General features: G+C 42.3%; 1 protein-coding gene across 3 annotated transcripts; it reads right to left on the bottom strand.

Moving 5' to 3' along the window:
* PTGDR (prostaglandin D2 receptor) lies at positions 454–13,670 on the bottom strand. 3 transcript variants are annotated; one of them, XM_005267891.5, is made up of 3 exons: positions 12,708–13,670; positions 6,385–6,637; positions 454–5,406 (listed from the first exon to the last, which is right to left on the bottom strand). In XM_005267891.5, the coding sequence occupies exons 1-2, from the start codon at positions 13,551–13,553 to the stop codon at positions 6,404–6,406; spliced, it is 1,080 nt and encodes a 359-aa protein (XP_005267948.1). In that variant the 5' UTR covers positions 13,554–13,670; the 3' UTR covers positions 454–5,406; positions 6,385–6,403. The 3 variants fall into 3 exon arrangements, with proteins under 3 accessions (XP_005267948.1, NP_001268398.1, NP_000944.1); NM_001281469.2 differs by adding an exon at positions 11,827–11,917 and having other exon boundaries at positions 4,644–6,637; NM_000953.3 differs by having other exon boundaries at positions 4,644–6,637.

The following is a 16,451-nucleotide window of genomic DNA, read 5'->3' as shown; positions in this document are numbered from 1 at the left end:
AAACGAACAGCAATCACACAAATTATACAATTTGAGTGCTCTAAATGTAAGGAGAAATTAAGACCAGCTGGTTGTTAACAGTACCTTTAGTTATTAAAGAGAATTTGCAAGACAGATTCCCAACTCACCTCCTTACCTAGTGATGAGACTCAAGCTGAAGACTGTTCTCCACTGATGAAGAAGCAGACAAGCTTGCCTTCCCTGATGGAAGCAAGCAAAAACTCCCAGAAAAAAAAAAAGAGGTGTTTTTTTTTTTTTTTTAAACATCAAATTAAACCTCAGAGCCCCAACTTCCTGCAGGGAGGAGGTCCCAGACCTCAACAAATTGTCTTATTGGTTTGGGCTATAAAGAGCCCAATCTGGTACCAATAGGAGAGCTGCTGCAGGCCAGGGCCACCTTCACTCAGGATCCCTCCGTGGTCAATCAAGGAAAATGACCCAGGAAAATCTCAATCATTTTTTGAGGTTTATTTGCCAAAGTTAAGGATACACACCTGGGAGATAGGTCTATTCCTTTCCCCATAGATGATTTTGAGGGTTTCAATATCTAAAGGGGAAAGGGAAGGATATTGAGAAATACATAATTTTCATGTGAGAAGAGGGTAGGGGAAAACAGTCATTCATGCCTTTGTCTGGCTCAGTGAATCTGCATTTTTACATATGTAGATAATGCAGACGATAGAGCAGAGGAAACAATCAGATATGCATTTGTCTCAGGTGGACAGAGGGATGACTGAGTTCTCTCCTATGTCCCCACACCTGTGGAGAAAAGCTATCCATTCACATTGCCATGATGCACTCTAACAGAAACACTTTAGGAAAAAGGTCTTGGGGCCCCCAAGGAATTTCCGTGTGGACAAAATGTGAAGGAGGTATGTAGCTTTTCGTATTTTAGCCATCTTATTTAGGAACCAAAATGAGATGCAGGTTGGCGTGACCCAGTTCCCAGCTTGACGTTTCTGTTTGGTTTAGTGAGTTTGGGGTCCCAAGATTTATTTTACTTTCACACAATCATAATCAGTAAATCATTGTACTTTATCTTTTTCATCTAATTGGGAACTCTGGGTGTTTTTTAATTTGGGGGGAATAAAAAGTATTTTCTAAATTCATTATGAATTGTGTGTCATGACAGTTATTGTTTCCATATTCTATTTTGTAGTGATAAGAAATTGATGCTGGCAAGCTACCAACTTTGTTTGCCCAGGTGTTTATACAACGCACCGCTAGACTAATCTTAAACATCAATTATCGCTGATTTGGGGCTTTATTGTTTTAAAATCTATAACTCATACTTTAGTACTTTGTAACATTTGCACTACACTGTATGATTTTTACCTTCTAGTTTGTCCTGTGTTTCCAATTAGATTCCAAGTGCTTACTCAGTTTAAGATCATCATAGGACCCTATGCTTTGCCTAAAATATACTTTCATTTGAGCTTTGACTTGACTGTATTTTTATTGCCTTCCCCGGTTGAGGCATTTTAGTAGGAAAAAAAAAAAGCTTATATCTTCTCCCTGTATTTTTAACCAGAGCATGATCGGTTCTAAACACATTCATTGCAATTTTTTTTTTAATTTTATTATTATTATACTTTAAGTTTTAGGGTACATGTGCACAACATGCAGGTTTGTTATGATTGGACTTACTCCTGAGTTCGTGCAGTTTGTATAAAAATATCTGGAAGACTAGAATGTTCACCTCACTGTTATCAGGCGAGATCTGCTGATTCATTCCACTGAATTTGGCTATTGTGAAACGGTAGAGAGAGGAAGCCTAATTATAGTACCACCCATCCTATGTGCTCAGCTTTCCTCCACCTAGAGTCTGGGAACACCCAGACCAGCAATCCTAGCCTCACTGAAGAAAATAATTAAAGAGCAGGCCAGTCAACACTGTTCTAATAAGACAAAGTTGTTTTTACAATGTTAACATTGCCTAATTAACAAACTTTTTATGTTGTTAATTTCATCATGTACGAGTTGCTATTTCCTGGATAAAAATTGAAACATACATGTTAACTTACATAATGTCGATAACAGTGGGAAATAATATAGAGCAAAAATATTTTCTCCTACGTGTACTATTTTCACCTTTGGTTGGCCTAAGAGAAAAATCCTTATATGGTGATATGAGAACATTCTTCATCAGATACAGAGGAATCTTTAACCAAGCATACAGCAGCCTCTTATTGAATAGACGTACATTTTAGGACTATCATGAGAGAGAACGCGTTTTATTCAATATATTTATAGTATATTTATAGCTCTTCTACAGTATATATGTGAATTACTAGGAGAAATGAGAAAAAAATAGGTGACTATCTAGTCCTCAAGGATTTTAATGCCTGGAAAGAAAGATTCAATGTATAATATTTTCCTGAAAATATACAAAAAAGTCAAATTATGAAAGTTTAAAAATAGCTTTACGTATTTCAATGGAAATTTCTATCCTATAGAGAGTTAGAAAATATTCAATCCCTAATGAAAGCTCACTTTAAATATAATCTTTGACAATATTTTCATAAACAAAGGCTCTTTAGTTTATCTTCCTTCACAACAGCATCAGGCTTAGTGCCCAATTAAATGTCTGCAGCAGTCCAAAGAAATATCATTGCCGAGGGTAGTATCTTTACCTCCAAGTGAGCAAGACAGGTCTCATCACTGCTATCAGTGATGAACTTGGGAATCAGTAATGGCTGCCAGTATTGAAAGATATATTATTTTTTTTCTTTTTTTTAAAACTTTATTATTATTATACTTTAAGTTTTAGGGTACCTGTGCACAACGTGCAGGTTTGTTACATATGTATACCTGTGCCATGTTGGTGTGCTGCACCCATTAACTCGTCATTTACATTAGGTATATCTCCTAATGCTATCTCTCCCAGCTCCCCCCACCCCACAACAGTCCCCGGTGTGTGATGTTCCCCTTCCTGTGTCCATGTGTTCTCATTGTTCAATTCCCACCTATGAGTGAGAACATGTGGTGTTTGGATTTTTGTCTTTGCGATAGTTTGCTGAGAATGATGGTTTCCAGTTTCATCCATGTCCCTACAAAGGACATGAACTCATCATTCTTTATGGCTGCATAGTATTCCATGGTGTATATGTGCCACATTTTCTTAATCCAGTCTATCATTGTTGGACATTTAGGTTGGTTCCAAGTATTTGCTCTTGTGAATAGTGCCACTATAAACATACGTGTGCATGTGTTTTTATAGCAGCATGATTTATAATCCTTTGGGTATATACCCGGTAATGGGATGGCTGGGTGAAATGGTATTTCTAGTTCTAGATCCCTGAGGAATTGCCACACTGACTTCCACAATGGTTGAACTAGTTTACAAAGCTGTAACTTTGCTGAGAACATTACAGATAAAAACACTGTGGAAGTTCAGGTGTGAGGGATTATCTGCAACTGAAAGGATCTGAGAATCAGAGGTCAGAGAAACATAGTCTATCACATATTTACTTGTCTTTTTTTGGTATTTTTCTTTTCTTTTCTTTTTTTGTTTTGTGTAGAGCAGTGGTTCTCAAATATTAGCATGCATGAGAATCACCTGGAGGGCATGTTAAAGCCCAGATTGCTGGCCCCACCCAAGAGATTCTGATTCAACAGGTCTGACGTGGAGCTGGAGAATTTGCATTTGTAGTAAGTTTCAGGTGTTGCTACTGCTGCTTGTCCAGGACTACTGATTATTCTCTGCAAGAGAATGCTAGAGTGGAATTACTGGAACAACAGCAAAGAACGCTTTAGGTTCTTGATACACTGTTGGGTTGCTATCAAGAAAGGGTATACACATTTACGAACTCGCCAGGGGAACATGAATGTTCTTCTCTGAATAACCTCTGTTATTGAGAGTCATAGGTTTTTTGTTGTTGTTGTTGCTTGTTGTTGATATACAATTTGGTTTTATTTTTGCATTTCCTTGATTAGGCTGAATATTTTTCTACATTTATTAACCATATGTATTTTCTCTTATGTAAACTTTCTCTGTGTTCTTTTCAGTTTTCAGAGTCAAAATTCCTACTCGTTTTCAATACTTGACTTTCAATGCATCTTCTTCCTGTGAAGTTCTCCTGACAACCCTACACGTGGTCCCTAGTTTGGGCCTCCTCTTCTAATAGTAAATGCGTACTCGCAATACTATGGAGAATTTCTATGCTGTATCCTAACTGTTGACATTCCTCTCTACCCCAGTGGACAACGAGCAACTCATGAACCATGATTGAGTCTTATTTTTATTCCTTTCCTCAGCCCCTAATCAACTGCTTGGCACAAGGTCTCTGTAAATTATTTAATGAATTAATGAATAAATCTATACAGATTACCGAAGAGTTGGTTTTAACTCAACACAGACTTCATCCAGATGGTATATCTACATTTTGTATGAAACAAAAAGGAGCACTAGGTCCTTAGGTGAGTCTAAGGACTTACCTAAGCTTGTTTAAAGTAATGTAAAGTAATGAAATGTAAGTAAAGTAATGAAAGCTTGTTTAAAGTAATGTAAGTGTTAATCGGACAGTATATAAAAATCCACACTAGGAAACTGCCAGACAATGAAATATTGCTGGCAACTGTCTACTAAAAAGAAAGCCAAGCCCTTTTCTTTCATTTAAAGAAAAGTAATTTCCTCTGCAAAATACTATAAAATTATATTTATTGATTCATCTGGGGCCTTTTCAAATTAACTGGACAATTATCCTAACACACCTCTCCAAAAAAAGAATACAAAAAACATGTTCTTCCTCTGACAATAAAACATGCATGTACTTACACATTGAAGGTACAAACAAAAGTTAAATTTCAAAAACAACTGTATTTTTTTCATCATGTCATACTGTTAAATCATACTCCTTGTATGCCTAATTTGGCTTTTTCACAGTTTTGCTATACCAAAAAATTACATAAAAAATTACCCAGCTTTATATTATCTCAGATACTGGAAAAAACATAAGTGAAACAAAGGAGGTTGCTGCTCAGTTGGAAATAAATAAACATGAGTACTCTTATATTTGGAAGGGACTTCTGGCTGGAGGTCTTGAGATCACGCAAATGCAGCAGGCTTTGCACCTTGGAGTCCTGAGATTGTCAGATACAAAGGAACTCCAGAGATGCTGAAACCCCTTGAACCTCCCCAGCTGTTCTTTTACCAAAGGTGAAAGCTCTTACCTGCAAGCTGGGTTTAGAGTCTCCGCTTCAGTTGCAGCTGCGTTTCCTCCACTTTTCCCTTTCAGTCATCATATTGCTGACCCTTGAAAACTTTTAAATTACTATTAAAGTGCTCAGTTGTGCTCCTTTTCGGCTATATGCTGCTCCAGTTTTGAAGGTGTAATTTGAAGTAAAATCTTGGAACCTAAGATCTTACCGTCTCCACGGACAGCAGAATACGGCTGTAATAGGTAGCTGTTAAGGTAGATGTTAAGGCCATTGTTACTATCGTCAACTGAGGCTAAGTCCTGGGTGGGCTTTTTGCTGTGCCAAATGCCCCCCTGTGCCACACAGTCAAACAGTAAACATGGCTCTACAGTGAGTCACACACTGGTTTTCAAAGAAGCATAAATCCTTCCACTAAAGAATCCATTGATAGGATAATTCTTTTATAAAATGGAGGTTCTAAAAACTGAAAGAACATTTTGCAACCCACCCCCAACTTTTGATTCCTACTGACACCCTTGACTCAATACAAAAGAAACTGGATTTCAAAAGATAAAAACGAATTTTTGCTTCTTTGGGTTGTGGGCTATAGTCATATCTTGCTCTGCATCTAGTTACAGCTTCAGGTCTCCACCTGAGGCAGCAAGTACTCCCCGATGGTGGCTGGGGAAGCCCCTCCAACTGCCTGACCTGGTCATATTTCCCACCTCACTTCTCTGAGGAACATCATAATTCAGGCTATGCTTAGATCAATTGGCAAAGAAATGAACTAAACATCGGCAATGATATAAAATCAATGAATCAGGTTTCACCAAAAAATGAATAGGGTAAGAAATTATGCTTTTTATGAATGTCCATCGTATAATCGTAAACAGTGGTGTTTCTACTGTATTTTAAAAGACCTGTATGTCTCAAGGCCTCTCTAAAAAAAAAAAATAGGGCCACCAAGCACAAATGTAGGGACAATTAATACCATTGTTTTTTAAGACTTTTAACACTGGTTACAATATATAAAATTTTAGTTGCTGTTAATAAAAAAATGAAAATGCACTGAAGGGGTTCATGACTATAGAATGGTAACACATTGTTAAGATATCAAATACTTTTGAAAATACATATACATGCTTTTGTTATGGGAGGTAACTTTTAAGGATTTAAATTGTAAGTTGTCTTTTTTTTTTTAATCATGGTTCTTTGACTGAAAATGTGACATATTCCTCAGCTTACCACAGAGTGAAAAACACTGTCACAGACTGGATTCCATGTTAGTGGAATTGCTGCACCGGCTCCTGTACCTAAGAGGTCTAATGAAAATCTTGTGAAAAAATATCCGAAATACTGGAGATCTGAAAATGATAAAAATCCAAGGGTCCACAATTGAAATCACAGATAGAAATCGCAAGGCTCGGAGGTCTTCTGCTTCTTCAGAGGTCCTGTTTTTCTCCTTGACATCCTTAAATGCTCCATAGTAAGCGCGATACTGTTTTGAAGAAAAACATTCCATTATGATGTGGAAAGGTTAATGGCAGCAATGGATTCACTTACTTCACCTAAGTTACTGTAAGAACATGACAGCTTAGCTTGGAACACCCATTTTTGGTACATTTACAAGTAGCTAAGGCCACAGCAGCTGATGGGTGCAAGTGGGGAGCTGGGAAGGTGGGGTGTGGCCAGACCTGGGAGGTGGGAAGGAAGCTGAGTACTTGTCGGAGACCCAGTCTGATTAAGTCCCTGAAGGCTATTCTACCTGCTGGGCTCAAGTTTCTAGGTCCCTGCCAGGCCATGAAGATCTGCTGAATCTTTTAGAAACAGGGTCAGCATGCTTTCATAAATACAGAATCTCTTTCTAGCTAGTGTCCTTGCACTTACTTTCTTCAGTTCTCCTTTCTTTCTTCTCCCTGCTTCCTATCTTCTCCTATTAGTTCTCTCAGAAATAAGTCACACCTGTGAAATGTCATATGTATGGAGACACCAATAGAATGGAAGCTTTTAATCAATGTGAAGAGATTGGAAATATGACAATGAAAAGACCTGAGATGACTTGGAAAAAAATACTGTTCAACTCATGTAAATTGCTATACTTATTTTTAGCACAAATTGTTACTTTTTCATGGTTGACATCCTTTTTTTTTTTCTTGTTCAATCTAGAAGGCAAAAACATGCACAAAAATATAAGGCTGCCTTACCTAGGTCCAACCAACTCCTCTTGTCTTGATCTTCCCTGAGGTCTCTGTAGCCTCCTTGGAGCCCTGCAAAGTGCCTCAAACAACAGCTTTTCCTCCCATTCAGCCAACACTGATCTCTAGATCAGCACAACCATTGCTTTCCACTCTGCCTAAGGCTGGCCACTTTTTTCTTTTTTCCATTACATTCTCTATGCCTACAATTCTAAATACATTTTAGGATAAATGGACTCTAATGGAACAGGAAGCGTGCAAACTCAACATTAGTAAGAAGGGATATGGATAAGAGACTGGACCCATTCGAGGCAATCAGAGAGCATCTCCTGGAGAAGATGCATTTTTCCCATAATCATTTCCTTACTGTTCTACTTTCTTCTCTGTAGAGCATTTCAGCAGGCTCAGCCACTCCAATCTAGTGCATTTAGGAAGACACCTTACACTGGACTCAGCTGTTTAATCTGGATGCCCTCGCCCATCTGAAGTCGGGCGGGGGCGGAGGGAATCTTAACAACTTCTCCATAACATAAATATTGTATTTGATTAATCTTGATGAAAAGTTTGTTGGAGTATGATTTTTAAAATTCACTTTAATGCTGAACACTTAACTAGATTGAATTTTCAAATTTCCAGTTTGATACAATCGGAAGAAAGTGCAAGTGTAGAGAATATGGCATGAGCTTCAGAGGCATTCTCTAAGGCATATAACATATTTTCAGGCCGGGCACGGTGGCTCACGCCTGTAATCCCAGCACTCTGGGAGGCTGAGGTGGGTGGATCATTTGAGGTCAGGAGTTCGAGACCAGCCTGGCCAACATGGTGAAACACCGTCTCTACTAAAAATACAAAAATCAGCCGGGCATGGTGGTGGGCGCCTGTAATCCCAGCTACTCGGGAGGCTGAGGCAGGAGAATTGCTTGAACCTGGGAGGCCGAGGTTGTAGTGCGCCTAGATTGTGCCATTGTACTCCAGCCTGGGTGACAAGAGTGAAACACTGTCTCAAAAAACAAACAAAAAAACATATTTTCACCCAAATCATTTTTACCTTAGAAAACCACAATGTCCTGGAGGTTGGTGGGGGAGCAGGGATGGATGAGAGAGGGTGTGCGTGTATATACTAGGCGTTACGAGAGAGAGGGTCTGTAAGCCAGGTAAAGATAAGTACAAGCTATTTAATCACTTGTCAGAATCCATGAAATCAGAGATGAGAGAGCTCTCCTGTGTATGCCATTTTGAGGAGCAGAAAGAATAGGTGCGATGCTCCTTTCAAAGGAGGCTGTTGGAGGCCCGTAAGGGACAACAGGCAAGTGATGGGCCCAGGGAAAGGGTCTGAGGTAGATTTAAAGGGATAGAGCAGAGGGCAAGGTCTGTTGTGTTACAGTGCGTGGACTGGATAGAAGAGGGCATCAGAAGCCAGAGAGGGCTGCCTGGCAGGGATGTCCAGGAGGTGGCAACAACATTATTTCAATGACTCCCAACTCCATCAGAGGGCGTTCTTCTCACACCAATTCTTTCTGGATATTGAGCACTTTTAAAAATGCCCATGTATTTTTTTTTTTTTTTTAAGACAGAGTCTCACTCTGTCACCCAGGCTGGGGTGCAGTGGCACAATCAAGGCTCAATGCAGCCTTGACCTTCTGGGCCCAAGCAATCCTCCCACCTCAGCCAAGTAGCTGGGACTACAGGCATGTGTCACCACGCCTGGCTAGTTATTTTTATTTTTTTTGTAGAGGCAGGGTCTCACTGTGTTGCCCAGGCTGGTCTCAAACACCTGGGCTCAAACAGTCCTCCTGATTTGGCCTCCCAAAATGCTACGATTACAAGTGTGAGCCACCAGCCCCAATGAACAATACATTTCTAATACAAATCCAGTGACTTGAATGTCAACCTAATGGATTTGACATGGATAAATGCTGCCTAGAAAATAAAATAATTTGTTTTAATTATGCTAGTATCATTCAGTTGTCTAGATCCCAACTAATCAAGCATTCTCAAATAGTTGGAACTATATTTTGCCACACTCCACTTTGAGGAGAAAGGGGCAAATAGAAAAAAAACTCATGTAAAATGTTTTCTTTTTAAGTCAACTTAACCATATAGCTTATTGTCACCCATGTCTCCCCCTTCAGATAAAGATACAATTGCTAGGTCCATTACTTAGAAGAGTGTAAAATCTCCAATACCTATTCAATGTGTCCAGTAGGTCAAAACTACTGTCATTACAAACATGTGATTTGCCTTTTTCCCCTTCATTCTCTCACAAGTGTACAGTGAATTTTATGGAGGCTAGATAACAAATGATGACATCACTTTCACAAAGAATAGAATATGTGGTTGTTTATCCTTGTGTTTTCTAGACCTTTTAAGGTGGCAGGTTGAGGGTACACACGTGAATTTTCAGAGACTGTTTTCAGTACTTTTGTGCTCTTAACAGGATTTTTCCACTTTACTTGCTATAATCTCTGTAACCTTATTGTCATCAAATCATTGTGAAATCCCCACATTTTCCTTGTACATATGGAAAACACAAGAGGTACATTTTATCTTGTTTTGCAATCATATGTTTAGAATTTCTTAGTTTTATTTTCTAATATGAGAAATACTGATGATTTAATCCACATAAAAGCCATCTGGGTCATTAATAATTTTAAGAGTATAAAGGGGTCCTTAGACCAAAAAAAAGTTTCAGAGCCACTGCCTTAGTATATAGCACTATCTCCTGGGACGATAATCGTTCTTGATTTTTTTTTATGTCCAGCAGGCAACAATAATACATGGAAGTTATAAATAGTAATAATAATGATGCTAATATATTGAGGCAAGACACTGGGCTAGGTGATGAATGTATATATTATGTATGTAATTTCAAATCTTCATTACTATCTTACAAAACAAGTATGGTTATAATCATTTTACAGATGAGGAAACTGAGGTCAGAAAGGGTAAATTAGCTGCTACCATAGCTAGTAAGTGATGAAGCCTGATTCAAAACCATGTCTGATGCTAAAGCCCTTATCCTCTCTAGAAAATAGTGGTTCTTGTGAAGAATGCTGTCAACATTAAATATATTTGGAACTTGCTAGTTTTTTTGGAAAATCTTTTTCAACTCCATTGATTTTCTTCAATCCTCACAATACCCTAGGAGTTATCCAAGTCTCCGTAGAGACATGTCCAAATGCAATGTTCTTTCCACTGTATGATGCTGCTTTCTGCATTGGTCTGACTAAAACATTCAAACTCAGGTCAAAATTTCCATGCATTTGGCTACTGTCTACTTTGTCACAGCATAGATAAGTGAGGCCCCAACTTTACAATAGGAGCTCCTAAAGATTGTATAAAGGACCAGATAGTAACTATTTTAGGTTTTATGGCCAAGAGACAAAATCATAAATATTTGATAGGTACTAATATAACATGGGAGAAAACACATTTCCACAATTTTTTGATGGAATTCAAAATGTATTAATAATTGAGTACAATTTTTTTTTTAGATGGAGTCTTGCTCTGTCGCCCAGGCTGGAGTGCAGTGACACAGTCTTGGCTCACTGCAACCTCTGCCTCCCAGGTTCAAGCGATTCTCCTGCCTCAGCCTCCTGAGAAGCTGGGACTACAAGTGCATGCCACCACGCCCAGGTAATTTTTGTATTTTTAGAGACGGGGTTTCACCATGTTGGCCAGGATGGTCTCGATCTCTTGACCTCATGATCTGCCCGCCTCGGCCTCCCAAAGTGCTGTGATTACAGGCGTGAGTCACCGCTCCCGGCTGAGTACAATTTTTTTGTAATATGTATCTACTAAGGAGAAGAATAAAACGTTTTCTTGGAACAGTATTTTTCTTGAAATAGTATTTGGCTCAATTGAAGCTCAAAACTCTTGGGTCTCATCAAATTGATTGCAGAGATTCATTTGTAAGAATTATTCTTAACTCCAGGGAGATGTAAAACAGTGGCCAGGAAAGATTTGGCCTGTGAGCTGTGGTTTGCTAACTCCTGTTTTAGAGTGTGATTCTACAAATGTGAACCCTGAATCTGAGCTTGCATATCACCTGGGAACTTGTTAAGAATGAAAATTCTTTAAAAATGTCTGAATTAGAAACTCTGGGGAATGGGGTCCAGCCATCTTTTTTTCTAGAAGCCTTGCTGGTGATTCTGAGCTGGTGATTCTGAAGACCACTGCTATATGTCATCTGCGCCTATATCTACATTTAGATAGATATAGATTTATGTATTTGTTTATTTATTTTGGGGGCATACTGTTCCCACCCCTGCATGCTGATGCCCCAGACTTCTTTTTCCGCAAGCAGTAAGGCCTTCATTTAAAGGAAAATCGCTTTGTATTTCCCTTTCATTCACCATTGAAAGTAATATCCAAAATGGCTACATTCTGAGAAGAAATTTAACAACTTTCCTATTCACAGAAGTCTCAGGATTTCGAGAACGTGGGATTGGCAATGGAATTTCTGTAAGTATTGTTTTTGTTGAACAGGTACCTTGGGAGAAAGGAGAGGAGCAGCACTGAAAATGTTTCCTCAAGCCTCACCTACTCCCAGGTGTCTTGGCGGGGACTCCAGGAACAAATGCCTTCAAAATGAGGAGATAATTTCATTTCCATCGCTATCCTCATTACCAAATTGAAACCGGAGATAATGGCTTTCATGTCACCTCACTTGCCAAGATACACTCAAAACCCGTCAAGTCAGGTTGTCAAAACGACACCAGCAGCTAAAACATACAAAGAGCCTCGGCCTCCATCGCCACAATCCCTGGCGGATGCAGCACCAGAAACAGCAGCCGTGGCGTCTCAAAGTTTACGCACGCGTTTTTCAAAATTAAAACTATGCATCTGCAAATCACTCTGGCTGGCTTAAACCTCTTTTTCCCTTTCTATGCCAACACCGGGGAGAAGATCGTCCCAGACGCCATTCGCCCATTTCTGATACCACTGAAGTCATGAGCAGGTCTAACAAAATAAAACATCACCCAGCCGTCGGGAAGTAGAAGACTCCTGTTGCCAAGGAGAAACTAAGTTCTGCTCCTCCTAAGGCGCAAAAATGACCTCGAGATCTCCCCAGAAGGAAGCAGAGAGGAGGGAGTTCTGCCACATGGAGAGGGTTTTGCTGGGCTAGGGAGACACCGCCGGGCTCAGCCTTTCCCTTCCTTTCTCTAACTTTCCCTCATTTCGCTCCGCAAACTGAGTTATATCTCGGGGCTGTGGAAGGAATCCAATTTGGGGAACTCAGCAGCAAACCTTCCTGGCCCAGGGCGCAGCTCGCCTGGCGCCGCGTCCATCCCGATCCGCTCCACCCTTCCCGCCCCGCATCCGCGGCCGGACAGTCTCAGTGCCCTGCTGCCTCGGGGCCCGGGGACTCACAATTACGGGCAGAGAACACATAGTGAAGAGCACGGTCATCAGCGCCAGCAGCAGGAGGTGATCCAGCTCCTCCAGGGGCTGAGGGGACGCTTCCCTCCCGTCCGCGCGCGGCTCGGCACAGTCCCTGGTGCAGGAGCGCGGGTGCCGCTGCAGCCGCCGGTGCATCGCATAGAGGTTGCGCATGGCGCCGAGGTTGCACAGCACGGTGGCGAGGACCAGCAGCGCCATGAGGCTGGAGTAGAGCACAGAGTACCCCAGCACCGACAGCGAGCCCTCCTCGTGGACCATCTGGATAAAGCACCAGGTGCCGGGGCAGTACTGCACGAACTTCCCGAAGCCCATGAAAGGTAGCGCGCAGAAAGCCAGGGAGAAGGCGCTCACCACCGGGGCCACCAGTGCGCCCAGGCGCAGGGTGATGTGCCGTCGGTAGAAGAAAGGGTGCCCTAGGGAGAGCCAGCACTCCAGTGCCATGGCCAGGAGTTGCAGTGTCGAGGAGAGCCCAAAGAAGGACATGAAGAAGGCGAAGGCTTGGCACAACGAGTTGTCCAATGCGGGCGCAAGCACCCGCAGACTCCGGTTCTGAGCGTAGGCAGCCAGCACCACCGGGCTTAGGAGGCACTTGCCCAGCAAGTCGGTGACCGTCAGGCCACACACCAGCATGTAGAAGACCGAGGGCAGCGGGCGCAGTGGACGCCGCGAGCACCACCCCAGCCCCGAGCGCGCCAGCAGCCCCAGGGCCAGCAGGTTGCCCAGGAGGCCGGTGCTGAAGAGCACCCCGCCCATCACCGCCGAGTTGCCTTTTTCCACAGAGGTGGTGTTCTGGCAGCGGTAGAACGGCGACTTCATGGCGTGCGGGAGCAGAGGGCTGGAGTGAAGGCTGCGGAAGGGCGAGGGCCCCGGCGCCCGGGTGCTAAGGAGCCCCCGGCAGCTCCGCGCGCGGCTCGGGCGGAGAAGCTGCGCCACAGAAAAAGCTCCGAGGGCGGCGGGGTGTTCCCCACGGCAGGAACCTCCTATCTAAACTCGCGGGTCACACCCCTCTTTGAGAGGCGGGACGCTCTGCAGGGTGAGCGCCTGGCGCTGGCATTGAAGAGCGCGGAGCAGGCCAGTGAAGAGCTCGGCCCTGACGCGCTGCGTTCTCAGTAGAGACAGACTCTGGTGCCGAGTCGGAACGGCAGGAGGAAAATAGCCAGAATTCCAAGCACCCAACACCAGTCCTTCTAGCGAGGCAAGAGAAGAACTACTAAAGTGGAGGGGAAATTAAGCAGCAGCCACCTGAGAGGAGGGCAATGGTGCTGGTGTTTGAACTGGGGTGGCCAAGAACTCGAAAGATGAGCGAAGAGGGGAGGCTGAGAAAGGGCTTCTACCTAGTTGTCTTGAATTAGCTAGTCAAGGAAAGGTAAAGATAACTCACGTCTGGAAAGCCCCTGAGCCTTAGCTCCTCTTCTCTACTAGATCAGCGCAATTTGGGGCATTCACGGTCATCTCCATTGCATAGGCGAGGAAACTGAGGCCTTGGAAAGTTAAGTGATCTGCCCGTGGTGACAGAGCTACAGAAGTAGCAGAGCCGGACCTCTCACCCGATCTTCTATTTTGGAGTTCATCTGTCCTGTTCCCATGACTCCTCCTCCCAAGAAGTTGTCCAGATTTCAGGGAAGTGGTTTGTGGGAAAGCCAAGAGCCGGTGTTGGTCCTGGGTGCCATGAATCACATTGACTGTAGAGAGCTGGGGGGAAGGGCATGGTTAGCAGCACTGTTGCTGTCATCAGATAGGCCTGGGTTTGAGTCCAGGTTCTGCTCCTCACTGTGTGTGTGACCTTATGGGACTTGCTTAGCCTCTCAAGCAGTAACATCTATCTGGCCTGCTTGGCTCTTCTGAGGCATAGAAATAACACGTAAAGAGCAAGTACATAGAAAGTGCTCAATTCATGCAATCACCATGATTCTTATTTGATAGAAGGGTGTTTTGGTAGCTGATGTTTAACTGCAGTTTTTAGCATGGATTTTGAAATCAGAAAATGGTAGATTTGGCATAGAGCTTTCTCACTCCTCTGATTTGTGGCTACTAGAAAAAATTTATTCCTGTTTGGGCTTTGACTTGGCTGCATCATAAAGGCAAGGGAGTTAATTGTGATAAGCGTGATTTTATATCTTTAACTAGCATTCGATGCCCTGTGAGAGAAATTGGCTTTGAGTGTGGAATCTCAGTGGGATGACTAAGGTTTTGTTATGTAAGTGAGTAGATGATGCCTGGGCTTGAAACGGCTCATTTTTAGGCCTCATGCCAGTTCTGATGGACAGACTCAGGGAAAGAGCAAGACCCTTGGGATTTAGATGTGAAAGCCTGAAGGGTAGACAGAGAGGCTGCCTCCAGACTGAAAGTCTGGCCAGTAATTCAGGCCACAGGGTGGAAAAGAAGAATCTAAGCTTGGAATTAGATAGTTCTGAACTCCACCACTGGCTGTGTGACCCTGGGTTAGTTGTTCAACCTAATGGAATATGAGACTTATGCTGAACTTGTGGGGTTGTTGTGAGGTTGAGAAAACTTGAAGTGCTTTGGCATAGTGTAATAATAATAATAAGAGCTAATATTTATTGGTCCTGATGCAGGTTGGACACTCTCTAAGCCTTTCACTTATATTGACTCAATAGAAGGCCTTGTATAGAGTTAGTTCCCTTGTCTTCTACCTACTCTCTCTCATTCCCATCTCTAGCCCCTAGCACATAAGAATGGGTTTAGAAGAGCCCCACTCGACTTAATGAAGTGAAAGGAAGAGCAGGCCCCATAACCAAAAGACATGAGAATTTGATGAAAGCTGTGGTCTCCTCCATAGACAGACAGACACACACACACACACAGGCACACACACACAGACACACACGCAGACACACACACACACACTTTACATCAATCTCAGGCTGTTCACCATTTCCTGAAGCCCTTCTATGGTACCCAGAGGAGACCCAATGGACACTAGCTTAAGAATCCTTCCTCTAAAAATATTGCATGGGTTGTTCTTCTGAAGCATACCTACTTCAATTCTTTGCAGCTTTATTTTCATGCTACAGTGGCTTACAACTCCGTATTTATCCTAGGAACCCTAAGATTACAAATACCTTTTAAAGAAAACAACCCCAAAGTGTGACTGTTGGGCCAGCTGTGGGTCCTTGATAAGGTTTACATACATCATGCTTTAAGGTTGAAGGTTTTGAACAAGTGCAATTCAGGAAACCACACGTTTCCTCTCAGCCACTGTAGCTGGCCTTTACGATGGGGTTTCCGGTTGCCTTTCCTGATTGCTTTGCTGGTGTCCACCCTACCCTGTTCTCAGGCCTAACTTTGGAGTCTTCTGTCCCAGTTCCCGAGAAATTCTATTTTGTAATTTCACCATACAACCAAGAAAAGTATCATTTGTTCATGCGTCAAATAGTTTTTGCGCTCCTACTCTGTGCCAAGCATGGGGGTGAGGGGATGAAGCATGTGGGCACTGAGGGGCATACAACAGATAAGGAAAGGCAAACATCATGTCGTGTGACCTCTACAGGCTTATACATTTTTATATCAGCTTTCAGAGTAACCAGGCTAAGTACATTTTTTCCTTAAAAGGGAAACCTTTAATGAAAATATCTTAGGCTAAGTTAGTGGTAAAATTACCTCCATTATCTACAGAGCTGTACCAGGCTGCTTAATTGGGTTATAGGACAAATCTTCTGAAAATATATGACATCATGTGGATGACTATTTTAA

The sequence above is a fragment of the Homo sapiens genome, chromosome 14, assembly GCF_000001405.40.
Source record: "Homo sapiens chromosome 14, GRCh38.p14 Primary Assembly".
In the NCBI taxonomy this organism is placed as follows: Eukaryota; Metazoa; Chordata; class Mammalia; order Primates; family Hominidae; genus Homo; species Homo sapiens.
The sequence above is the reverse complement of the archived record's forward strand: the minus strand, read 5'-3'. Positions and strand labels throughout refer to the sequence as shown.

Bases quoted from the DNA above. Each gene is read 5' to 3' on its own strand.
- PTGDR (XM_005267891.5), bottom strand. From the start codon at position 13,553: ATGAAGTCGCCGTTCTACCGCTGCCAGAACACCACCTCTGTGGAAAAA. The intron at 6,638-12,707 runs GTGAGTCCCCGG...TCTTCAAAACAG, and splicing joins TGTGTTCTCTGCCCGTAATT to TATCGCGCTTACTATGGAGC.